We start from the raw sequence: 13,080 nt of genomic DNA, 5'->3' as shown, positions 1-13,080 counted from the left end.
ATTTACAATAAAACATGCCCTTTAATCAGGACAATTTAAAAATGCTAAGTAAAGACAAGGGAAGAGTGCCTGATCCATCTTTAGAAGGTCAGGAAAGATCACAGTGGCCATTAGTTTTAATTTTATACTAATCTCCAGTATTCCTTTCACCTATAACTATCTGAATCTATGATCTCACAACCCCCAATGTACAAACATTTTAGTCTAAATTCTAGAAATTTAGACCAAATTATTTTTTCTTTCTTTAGCTGAACAATTTTTCACGGTTGGGTTGCATTACTTAAGAAAAAGGTTACTCTACACATGGACACAGGGAGGGGAACAACACACACACGCCGGAGGCTGTCAGGGGGTGAGGGACAAGGGGAGAGGGAGCATTAGGACAAATACCTAATGCATGCAGGGCTTCAAACCTAGGTGACGGGTTGACGGGTGCAGCAAACCACCATGGCACATGTATACCTGTGTAACAAACCTGTACATTCTGCACATGTATCCCAGAACTTAAAGTAAAATAAAGTAAAATAAAGAAAAAGGTTACTCTAAATGTGTCCTATGGCAGTGTCACCAGGTTCTGATTGATATCTTGCAGATAAGCTTTGGCTTGCAGGGTGGTTTTTACAAGCACAGCTCCAATAATGTCTTATGCTTATTTAGTGCTTTTTCTGGTTTTGACATCGCTGATCACACTCTGTTCACACAAAAACCATGTTAAGGTAGCAAGAAAAATGCCTTTTACTCTATTATACAGTTCTGCTAAATGCAACAAACATAGGCTGATTAAGTAATTTATCCAAGGCCAAAACATACATAATTGGTAACATATTCTGATTATCAAGTATTTTAATAAAGTCAGACACCTGTAGAAATGTATGGTAGCGATATAGCGTGGCAGTTCGTAGCCAGTACCCTGGAGTCCGAATGCCTGGGCTGATGACTCAGTGCTACCATCGATGACCTGCGTGACTTTGGGCAAGTTACTTAACCTCTCTGTGGTTCAGTTTCCACATATGTGAAATAAGGATGATAACAGTACCTTCTCTATAGGGTTGTGTCATCAGGATTAAATAAATGTGTATCTGTACATTAGTGTCTGCCAGAAAGTAAATGCTTGTCAACTAAAAGAGTCAAACTCTGCAAGATATTTGAAGAGATTTATTCTGAGCCAAATATGAGTGACCATGACCCATGACATAGCCGTCAGGAGGTCCTGAGAACATGTGCCTAAGTGGTTGAGGTGCAGCTTGGTTTTATACATTTTAGAGAGACATGAAATTTCAATCTGATACATTTAAGAGGCAGGACAACTCAGAGCGGAGGCGGGCGTGGGGCTGCGGTTGTTGGGGGGCTTCCAGCTTACAGGTAGATTTAAAAATGTTCTGGTTGACAATTGATTGAGTTTCTCTAAAGACCTGGGATCAATAGAAAGAAATGTCTGGGTTAAGATAAAGGACTGTGGAGACCAAAGCTCTTTACAGAAGAAGCTTTCAGGTAGCAGGCTTCAGAGAGAATAGGTTAACATGTTTCTTATCAGACTTCAAGTCTGTATTGATGTTAATGCCAGAGAGGTATATGAGTCATGTGAGACCCCCACTTCCCATCATGGCCTGAACCAGTCTTTCAGGTTACATTTTAAGAGTGCCCTGCTTGGGCCGGGTGCAGTGGCTCACGCTTGTAATCCCAGCACTTTGGGAGGCCGAGGCGGGTGGATCACAAGGTCAGGAGATCGAGACCATCCTGGCTAACACGGAGAAACCCCGTCTCTACTAAAAATACAAAAAATTAGCCGGGCATAGCGGCGTGCACCTGTAGTCCCAGCTACTCGGGAGGCTGAGGCAGGAGGATGGCGTGAACTCGGGAGGCGGAGCTTGCAGTGAGCTGAGATCGCGCCACTGCACTCCAGCCTCGGCGACAGAGCGAGACTCTGTCTCAAAAAAAAAAACAAAAACCAGAGTGCCCTGGTTGAGGAGGAAGTCCATGCAGGTGGTTGGGGGAACCTTAGTATTTTATTTTTGTTTCACATACTATATATATATTTGCTATTTATTATGAATTTGTATTGAGTATAACAAATTTCACTTATTTTACTTTTTCTTTTATCTCCCTCTACAAGTGTGCTAGAAAGTAGTTGGTTATAACCTATTGGCTTATTTTGTTGCCTAACTCCCTTTATATTCTAAGAAATAGATTTTCTCAAGACACCTTAAAGTAATAGAGACTTTATAGATGAATACTCAGGGATGTAAGGAAACAAGAAACCTTCCCGTAAGTTGGATTACCTGGTATCATGCAGAACAGGAAACTCATTGAAGACAGCAGAGGCCAAGGACCCTCAAACCGTGTTCCCTACAGAAACAATTAGTTCCACCATCCCCACGGCCCATGGTTTCTATACATGGGCTCCTATTTCTGGCTGAAATTAGGATTGCTTCAACTTGGCTGCTCTAAACTGCCACATTTTCTTGGGTCTCACATCGCAAATGCCAAAGAATAGAGAGAAGATTTAGCTTATCAGTCACTATCCAGCATAGAGAATTCTGCTGACAAATTTCTCTCACCAAATATCCTCATGTTTCATTTTTGTATGGCTACTCCAGGACAGACCCAGGTCCCTAATCCAAACAATGGTGGCCACGGTATCCAGATTATGTCACAAAGCATAGCACATTTTGAGGAAACAAATCCTCCTGCAGCTGCTTTTTTGAGAGGAGAGCTATGTACCTGGCAGACACTTTAAGATATCACTGTTCCCACATACTGTTACTAAACATTGTTCTTTTGTTTTGGTTTGTTTTGTTTTTTACCTATTTGCAAATCTGTTCTAATGGAATGACTCCTTAAGTCAAAATATAAAAGACTCTAAGAATTGCCGTTTGAAAGGCCTTAACACGTCTTGAGATAAAGCAACATGTTAACAAAGAGAAACTCCACAGTGGGCTTCTCTGAAGAACAATGCCAGGGGATTCATCTTCTTTTAGATCTCACCTCTGTTAAGGATCCTGTACTGCAATTGTTCAGTCTTTACGTCCAACCTTTAAAGGCATAGGATAGATGTTACAGCATATCACTTTCTTTTTACAGACTGAAAAATATTCTCAAAAAAAATTTCTTTCATGGAAAAAGAGGTCTTTTCTTTCTGGAGTGAAAAACACTACTTGCATTGTGAGAGCCTTCTTCTTAAAACAACATGAGGCAGGAAATATAGAGAAATTAATTTCTTTTTAGCTGTTCAAAATTGGAACACTTTTAATATTCTGGGGCTATCAAAGATGCCCTTACCTTTACATTTAAATCTTGACCAATAAAAAAAAACACATATTGCCAGTATTTAACAGGCCCTGAGTGGTTCTGTCAAAATATTAATCTACTTTGCTACCAATTTTGGGAATGCATTTTACAAAACATAATTCTTTCTTCCATCCTTAGAAGCCAAACCACAGAGATTGAAGACTCACCACCCCATCCTACCCTTCAACAGAGACTAAAATGACCTTTTTCCACTATGAGGAATTACATCATGAATTTGGATAGCTGGCCAAAAAAACCCTCCTTTAAAATATTTAGATTTTTCATGGATGACCATTCTTGGTACACACAAAAAAGGAAGGAATCCAATTCCAAAATTCACGTACCCATTGAAGAGGTTCACCTTTGTATTAGCCAAGACTTTTAGTTGCAAGTGCCAGAACCAAATCAACTAAAACACAGCTTAAGAAAATAAAATGTATTTAATGGAAGGAAATTGGGTTATCTCATATAACCAAAGGGATACTTCAGCATCTAAATGGGATAGACAGATGTCTCATGGTGGCTGAAAGTAGGGTCTGACAGGCCACCAGGACACTACATATATGTTCATTTACCTGCATTTACTGTCTCCACTTTTCTTGGCTTCTAGACTTTGTTCTCTCCCTCACAAAGGAGGAAAACATGGCCTCAAACAAAGCATTTCCACCTCCACCACTACCACCAGCACACACCCCTTCCCTAATCCCATCCAAAGACTCCTGGTTCACTTGCCCACCATCAGCCAATGAGCTATAGGCAAAATCAGGGCATGCATCCATTTCTGGGCCAATCCACTGTGGTTAGGGAATTAAAACATGTCAAAACATGGTAATCCCCAAAACACTGGAGAGAGAAGATGTTTCAAAGAATACATTAGGTGTTCAGAAGATGAGAGTGTACTGAGCAGACAAAGCAGATTTCTGCTCCAACCTCGAAAATAAAAGACCTCAAGGCTCAATGTGAAACCAATCTGACTCTTGGTGGTAACAATTCACTGTGGGGATTAGGAGAAACAATTTGTTCTCTCCACTTGGTGCTACCATAAGCATTTCTTCTTTTCGTTGCCAAGAACTAAAAGATGCCCACCAAGAAAACAAATGTGGGAAATAAATTTTTAATAATATCAAATAAAATTGTGTATTTTCCTCTAAGCCAATAAAAAATACTATGCCAAATGCCTATAAACACTAACATATTACTGTCATTTTAAAATATCAAGCAACTGTTCAAATTCGTATACCACCCTGGGTTGTCTTGCATGTCTCTGGTATCCTCACCAGCTTAACCAGTTACTTAAACATTAGAAACCTCAATTTACCAGTAGAGTTCATGGTTATATAAGGATTTTAACCTCTGTTTATTTCTCCCAGCTCCACCATCTCTACCTGCTCCCTTGTAGTAAGAACTAGGAAAATCAGAAAGTGTTTCTCAATGGTTTTTCTTCTTTGTAAAAAACAAGATGGGCTACTTTGGATTCTTCTCAAAAAAGAAAAGAGCCCTAATCTTTTAAACAGCATAACATTGGAAGGGAAATTGATTCCCAGTTTTTAAAAAGTGAGACACATAAAACTCAGATGCCATAGTGACCAATAGTTTGTAAGCCTAAATAAACAAACATTTATCTCTTGAATCTCAAATAGGTTTAATCTAACTTGGTTTTCATATATTGTTGCATTATTTTGGTTTTTTTGGAAAAAAGATATAGAGGAAAAAAATAAATCTTTTTGATCATACTAAAATATACTTAAGATAAAATTTACCACTTTATTTATAAGTACATGTTTTAGTGGTATTAAGCACATTCACAATATCATGCAGCCATCGTCACTATCTCAGAAAGAGAAAGAAATCTCACTTTTAGTAAAATCTTACCCTTTCCCAAAAGACTGTTTTCCAATATTGTAGTTATTGGAAGGAAATAATGTTTTTTTTTTCTCAAACACTTTAAGGCCAGTTCCAGAGAGGGTCATTCTCCTACCCTTCTCCAAATTATTACTTGGCACCAGACATAAAAATGCATTCTGATCAGCTGCCCCATCTTTATGCTGGAAATCACATTGCCTACTTTTTGAAAGCTCCAAATACTTTAAGGGATACATGCATTCTCTCGCTTCAGGTTTCCACCAATACATGACAGTTAATTACAATTTTATGTTGGCTCTGACAGGCTGCACTGTTGAGCATGTTCCCACACAAAGTATTGATGGGAAAAGAAATGGTGCAAAGACATCAATTACAAGGATAGATGATGCCCTCTTCATGCAGTAAGGAATTAACTTCTGAATCCTAAATGGCACTCAATGCAGAACTGTGAGGAATAACAAAGAGATAATTGATCCATCTTTCCTCTGCATTTTAAAACATACATAATTGTTTCTTGGTTGACTGGATTTAGCAATCTCTCCTGTCAAGGAAATATCCGAGCTGTCTTTTTAGAAATTAAACCAAAGAAATTAACATCCCTCAAAGCTTTTACTGTAATGCATTTCACACTCAGTAGCCCATAGATTTAACCTGCTTGGGTGATGACAACATCTTAGCCAATAGTGCTTACTAGAAATAACGTATTATAACCATTATCATGCCAGTGTACTAAAACGTATATTGTGTAAACTCATTTCAGTTTTCCCCGAGAATGTAATGAGAAAATGACATGATAATCTTTATAAAAATATTATCCTATTTGCCATCCTGACCTCCAGTTCCTGATAAAACAAAATAACATTCAAAGTCACAGAAATAATTACAGAGATTAAATAGCTGGGTAAAACGAGAGTAGGAAGGATAACTTTTTTTCTATGCTTTTGTTTTCTGGCTGGAGGCTTGAGTCTTCTTCTTAAGCCAAAATGTTGCCTCCAACTAAAGCAAGTGTGTACCCAAATGCTGATTATCATCAGCATTTTAACATTCTAGCATCATCCCAGTTGCTTTTGTTACTTTCACAAACAGGCAGCTGAAGCTATTACAGCCTTGGATTTCAACAAGGTGAACTTGCAGAAACAATAGGAAATAATTTGCATGATTGTGCATGGATTTCCCCAGGAACATAGCATCCCACAGAAAAGAAGTACTCAGAAAAATGCCATTTTTGTTTAAAACTTGGGAGTTTTCTTTTTTATCACCACAAAGATGCATTTTTAGGATTATTCACCCATCATAAGTCTCATAGAACTACAGAACACTGGAGTTAGAATGTTATGCAGGTCAGCTCTAAATCCTTCATTTACTGGTGAGAAAATGGAGACCCAGAGATGAAGAATGACCTAACTAGGTCACATCCAGCAAGAATGAGAATAGCAGAACTCGAATAATTATATGAGTTATTTCCAAAGCACCATTCCTCCATACCACCACGTCGAGCCCCAGGTTTTCAGTGCATTTCCTTGAGTCCCAGGCTTCAGGTTGGGTCAGTGCTAATTAAGCTAGTGTGAGGTGAGTTAAAATCATCAGCCAGCCTCACTCACAGCTTCCCCCATCATTCTGACCCAATTACAAAGCAAGGTGGGACTAAAGAGAGCCTTGAAGGGTGGAGCTAATGGTGAAAGTGAGCCCAGGAACAGGTTTGTGGCAGCTGGGGAGTCTCAGACCCAAGGGCTTGGGCATCCTAATCTGGGTTCAAAGGCTGGTTCTTTCATAAATAAGCATTGCTTTATTTCACTGGCTCCCGATCATTCAAATATATGTAATAATATATATGAATGTGTATGTTATATGAATATAAATATGAATATACATATGAGTTGCACTTTGTATGAATATATACATATGAATACATATATTTGGCCTGGCATGGTACTGAAGATCTTCATTTTCTGCCCTGGGATTCTCCTGACACCACAGACATGGAGAAGAAGCTCTAGAACTGCACGAATGTGAAGCTCAGAAGTGAGGGGAGTAAACCCTCCCACAGGCAACCTTCAATTTCCAGGAAACGGGAGCCAAGCAGGGAGAGTGCTCCTCCTCACATCCTCTGGCAGACAATTCTGGCAGGTATTCTGAGGCTTCAAGGAGTCCTGGTAGAATTTAGCTTTCATTGCCTGCAAATTCAGTAACAGCCCTCACATGGGTTTTTCCTCTTTCCTGCTCTCACTCCTACACCTTGGGCTTCTCTGTTTCCCACATAAACCACCTGCACACAAGTTTTCCTCGGACCAAGTTTTCAGGGCAACTCAGACTGAGACAACCTTTTCCTAGCTGTGTGATCCTGAGAAAATTACTCATATTCTCACAAATTCCATTTCTCCCTTTCAAAGTGACAATAATAGTACATTCACAGAACTTTTGTAAGGAACAAAGAAGGCTCTGTGTACAAATGGACCTAACCCTGCCTGGAGCAGCTCTTTCTGCAGTGGCCCCATCTTGATTATGCCACTGTTCCATTTGCTTAGGACAAACACCTCAGAGTCATCCTTCAGCTGTCTCTCACTCACATACTGCACATCCAGTTTTGCAGCAAATCTGCAAGGCCTTAACCTTTAAAATATGTCCAAACACCACCTCTTCTCACCATCCCCGTGGCTACCAGCCCCAGTGTAAGGCCACATCATCCCTCTGCCTACATTATTGTAATAGCTCCAGAGTGGTCTCCCTGGCCCTACCCTTGTTTTCCTAAATATTTTCCCTTCAAAACAGCAGCTATTTTTGAGCATAAGCCATACAGTTAACTCCTCTACCCCGAAGACTCCTCTGAGTCCCTCCTCCATCCCATTCAGAGTGTCAGCCCAAGTCTTCCCAATGGCTTATACGGCACCACAGGACCTGACTCCTTATCACCTCTCAAACATTCACCTCTGTCTTCCTGCTCCACTCTGTCCTTCCATGTGGCCTCATCCATGTACTTCATTTACACTCCTACCTCAGCCCATATAGACTATTCCCTCTGCATAAAAATTTCATCCACTGCAGATCCACACAGCTCACTCCCTCACATCACTTAATTCTCTGCCCAAATATGACATGTGTCAAAAATTTTTGTTCTAATCACATTTTATAACACATACCCTGACCTGCCAAACTCTCTGACTCCTTACCCTCCATTTGTTAAAATAAAATTGTACCAGGTAAGATAAGCAAATAGAAGTTGATTTTATTCCAGTATTATTGCCAGCATAGGGAAGAAAACACAGCCCAGCTCTAGATGAAATGAATGGTTGGAGAATCCTTAAAATCTGGGATGAGGGACCTTAGGCCACACCTGTTTTTGCGAATTGGCTTTACCCAAGGGAAAAGTAAATTTTCTCATGTCCTTGTGACAGGAGGCAGTTTTACAACTTGGAGCAAGGTGCCCCACCAAGGTTAGGCTCTTGCCTTCTTGTAGAGGCTGGTAGACAGGGATGCTGTCTTCCTTGCCAATTGGATTTCAAAGAGATGGTTCCCAGGTCTTTGAAAAAGATATTCCTGGGTTGCAAAACCAGCAGAAGGCATTTATAATATCTCAAAAAGGCAGATAAGGAATTTACAAATTAAACACATTTTCAAGAAAAGGGAGATCAGGGAACAAGAGTCAGGAAGAAGCCTGTCTAAAGCTGAATCAAGCTGAAGGCAGCATTAAGGTTGTCTTGGGCACGATAGCACCACCATATACATCATATCTCTGCCTGCCTGTTTCCCCTCTCTTCTCACTAAAATTCAAGTTCCAGGAGAATGGGTATGTTCTGCTTTGTTTTCTGCTCTACCACACCACCTATACTGCATATAGTATTTGCTAAGTTAATAGTAAATGCACAGAACATTCCAGAATATTTCAAATTTAAGTTTTAGAATTAAGTCATTTTCTTTTTTCAGTGGTCTCATTAATGATAGCACTTTTTTTTAAATCGTTTTTCTGTTCTACAATTATTTTGAGATTACGTTTTCTGGGAGCAATTTAAAATGTCTTTCCTAGTCATGACTCAGAGCCATCTATTGAATGTGTGTGTGTGTGTGTCTGTGTATGTGTGTGAGAAAATGTGTATGTACTGTATATGTATATATACACACATAATAATTCAATATGTACATTTTATGCACAAAATACAATAAACATATATTTTGCGTATATAAACTCATACATATTGGATTATTTTCATCCCTAAGCACTTTCAACAGAGTCTCAATAAAATTTACAGACCAAGTTTTAAACTTACCCCCATCTATTCAATACCTTTTTTCAACCTTTTCCCTTCACAGGTTGGTTTTTCACTACCTGGAAGGCACTAATGAAACAATTTTCAAAATGTTTTAAATGCACTGGGTTGGAGACAGGAGAGTCTGCCACTGAAGACCAGTGCAGATCAGAGTGATGGGACTCTGGTGGGCTTCACAGAGATAAAGTGCAGATTTCTAGTTCGTAGATAAGGTTACATACTAGAAACCATTTACTATGCCTTTGTAACAATTGCATGCCCGCATTTTTTTTTTTTTTTTTTTGAGACAGAGTCTCACTCTGTCGCCCAGGCTGGAGTGCAATGGCATGATCTCGGCTCACTGCAACCTCCGCCTCCCGGGCTCAAGTGATTCTCCTGCCTCAGCCTCCCATGTAGTTGAGATTACAGGCGCCCACCACCACACCTGTGCGTGCCCATATTTTAAGAGATAGTTGGCCTGGTGTAGTGACTCATGCCTGTAATCCCAGCACTTTGGGAGGCCGAGGCAGGCGGATTACCTGAGGTGAGGAGTTCGAGACCAGCCTGGACAACACGGTGAAACCCAGTCTCTACTAAAAATACAAAAATTAGCTGGGCATGGTCGTAGGTGCCTGTAATCCCAGCTACTCAGGAGGCTGAGGCAGGAGAATCACTTGAACCCAGGAGGCAGAAGTTGCAGTGAGCTGAGATCATGCCACTGCACTCCAGCCTGGGCAACAGAGTGAGACTCCATCTCAAAAAAAAAAAAAAAAAAAGAGAGATAGTTTGATTTACCACTTTCTGAAGTGTACTGATAGTTTTCCTTTATTTTATGTAAAATGTCATGATACATACTTGTCTCATCCAGGCAGTGCTGGCCACCACAGCATGCAGCCACCCTGCTACAGAGAAAACAATGCAGCAGGCCATCCCCTTGCCCCAAGGCGAAGGTGGTGCCATTGCCGCAGGTCCACCTGTAGGGCATCAAGAGCATCAAGCAGAAAAGAGATAAGAAACACCAGTTGATAAAGGACTATCTGGAGAAAGTGAAGCCTAACCTGAGATCCATCTGCATTCCCATCCTAGTCCTGGAAGTGTCAGATATGTATTTAATAGCCAGTATAACTGATTCAGAAAGCAAGGTCTTTTTCCCAAAATGAAGGAAAATTAATTCCATTACCTTGCTGACACTGCATGGGATGATGATTGAAAACATATCACAGATAATTCCCAAGGAGCCTGCTTACCAAGAGGCATTTGAAATAGCAAGGCAGAGATGGGAGCCACACAAACAAGTTGCCTGGGGCTAGCTCTTAACTTTACTGGATTTTGCTAGGAGATTTTTGTTTGTTTGTTTGTTTGTTTTGAGACTGAGTTTTGCTCTTGTTGCCCAGACTGGAGTGCAATGGCGAAATCTCGGCTCACAGCAACCTCCACCTCCCAGATTCAAGCGATTCTCCTGCCTCAGCCTCCTGAGTAGCTGGGACTACAGGCATGTGCCACCATGCCTGGCTAATTTAGTATTTTTAGTAGAGATAGGGTTTCTCCACGATGGTCAGGGTGGTTTCGAACTCCCGGCCTCAGGTGATCCATCCGCCTTGGCCTCCCAAAGTGCTGGGATTACAGGCATGAGCCACTGCACCCAGCCACTAGGTGATTTTTAATAATGCAGAACTTGCCCACACACTGACCAAAATGACTTTTGACAGAATGAAAACTTACAAAGACAACACCCTCATCATTCAGGCCTTAGAATCAACCAAACTTGAAGGAAGACCATGCAGGAGAAGAATGTGCTACAGCAGAGGGAGAGGAAGCTAAATGCATGTTGGGAGCATCCTTCTCCTCGAGGAACCCTCTAGACATCTCCACTCCTTATTTCACTGGGATTTCCTATAGAAAAGAAACCCATTCATGTGTATGGAATCAGCTGTTACAGTCTGTTTCTCATTGCAGCTCTGGGAGACTCCATGTCTTGATTTCTGCTTGTCTCAGTCTTTCTGGTTTATAGTGACTACTGCAGAAAATTATGAATAACCTCATTTCATATAAACATAAGTAACTTCCACACACTTACAAAGAAGACTAAAAATGCATCTGGTATTTAAAGAATCTGGACTAGTTCTACAAGTGACTGTGTTTGGTATTACTTCAAATATATGGAAATCTAGTTCATTATAATTAAAGAGTGTTCTAAATGACATGAGTTTCTACATTTCCTCCCTTATTATTTTTCAGGGATTTCCTTTCAGTAAGCAACTCTTCCATAATTTTAATGTATTCACTTGTGGCAAGAATCCAGAAATATTAGACTGAATGGGAAAGCCTCTGACACTTCTAGGCTGGAGATCACAAATTGAAATGCCTCCTGTATTATATACGTTATGGAGATCATGGATATTTGTGACAGCAGTTTTCTAATTTACTCTTTATTTGCTGCTGTTTAAATTAAAAACTTACCTCCTGCCTTTGAAGTTCTCTTATCCGCTTTACTATGTAAAAGCAATAACACATTGCTGCCAGAATGCAAGCATTGCTTTTGGCAGACTAAAGTGCATATCATTTTCTAATAGACTAGAAAGGGCAAGTTAATTAAAGTACACAGGTCCAAGTCTAAAACTTGAGTATTTTTCTATGCATATATGTGTGCGGGTGGGAGGGTGTCCAATTTGTCCAGTGATGGCCATTGAGAGAGGTGACCCACCGCTGAGTGCTGCTAAACATTGTCTGTAGTTTAAAAAAAACCTTGGGTAAATGTTATGCCCTATGCAACAGCAGAGTAACATAAAAGAAAACTGCATACCAGAAACATTTACTATGTCTTTGTAACAACTGCATGACCATATTTTAGGGAGTAGTTGAATTTACAACTTTCTGAAGTTTATTGATAGTTTCCTTTTATTTTATGTAAAATGTAGTCATGATACCCATGTTTCTGCATGATGAGACACTTGTCTCATGATGCCTTGAAATGCATAAAATCAGACATTTCTTCCAGTAAATGTTTTATGGTGGATCAGTCTCAGGGCTATCTTTCCCTCAGAGGTAAATGACATCTGGTTAAGTGTTATATGGAATAAAGTGGGCATTTTAAAACTTGAAAAAAAAACCTACCGGGTTAGACAAAATTAACAGGTTTCTCTACTTCACATCTGTTCAGAGCCCTTTATACGCTAATATCTCAGGTGTACTGCGAATTCCCAAAGTGGAATATAGTGTATAGCTTTTACCCACACACTTTTTTTAGAAACAGGTTCTCATAGGACATACTCTGATGCACGAGAAACATTACTGGAGTGTCATCATGGTGCATTGCTTACTATTTATTATTTATAAAAATGAAAAATGCCTAGTTTTGGCATGTATTCCCAAGACCAACTTTCCCATTTCTCTGTCTAGAAAAGAAATTGCTCATTTATCAAGCTTTGGTTTCATATTTCTAAGCTCTTGCATTCTATATGAGAAAATGAGCATGTTGCATGTTCTCTTGAGTGTGAGAACTTTTCATGAAATTTCTAATGTCTATATCAATTTATCACAATAAGTATTTCTGATATTTCTCTTCAAAAAATCAATGATTTTTGTTAATATGCTTGATTATATTAACTTTCTACCATATATTTCCCATATTTTCCAATTTGGAAGATAAGCCACTAGCCTATGATTTTACAGATTCCCTCTTATTTCA

The 13,080-nt window shown here is 39.7% G+C and overlaps 1 pseudogene, besides 1 other annotated feature; it reads left to right on the top strand.

Annotated features, from left to right (window-relative positions):
* Positions 2,479 to 3,197: an enhancer, noted in NCBI's record as "NANOG hESC enhancer chr1:238279047-238279765 (GRCh37/hg19 assembly coordinates)". NCBI's record gives its function as "activates a minimal SCP1, AML or CMV promoter by ChIP-STARR-seq in primed H9 embryonic stem cells {active_cell/tissue: H9 hESC(primed)}" and the evidence as "EXISTENCE:reporter gene assay evidence [ECO:0000049][PMID:30033119]".
* YWHAQP9 (YWHAQ pseudogene 9) lies at positions 11,041 to 12,496 on the top strand (annotated as a pseudogene).

This window comes from Homo sapiens, chromosome 1 (genome assembly GCF_000001405.40).
Source record: "Homo sapiens chromosome 1, GRCh38.p14 Primary Assembly".
Taxonomy (NCBI): domain Eukaryota; kingdom Metazoa; phylum Chordata; class Mammalia; order Primates; family Hominidae; genus Homo; species Homo sapiens.
This window is presented reverse-complemented; position numbering and strand designations above follow the sequence as displayed.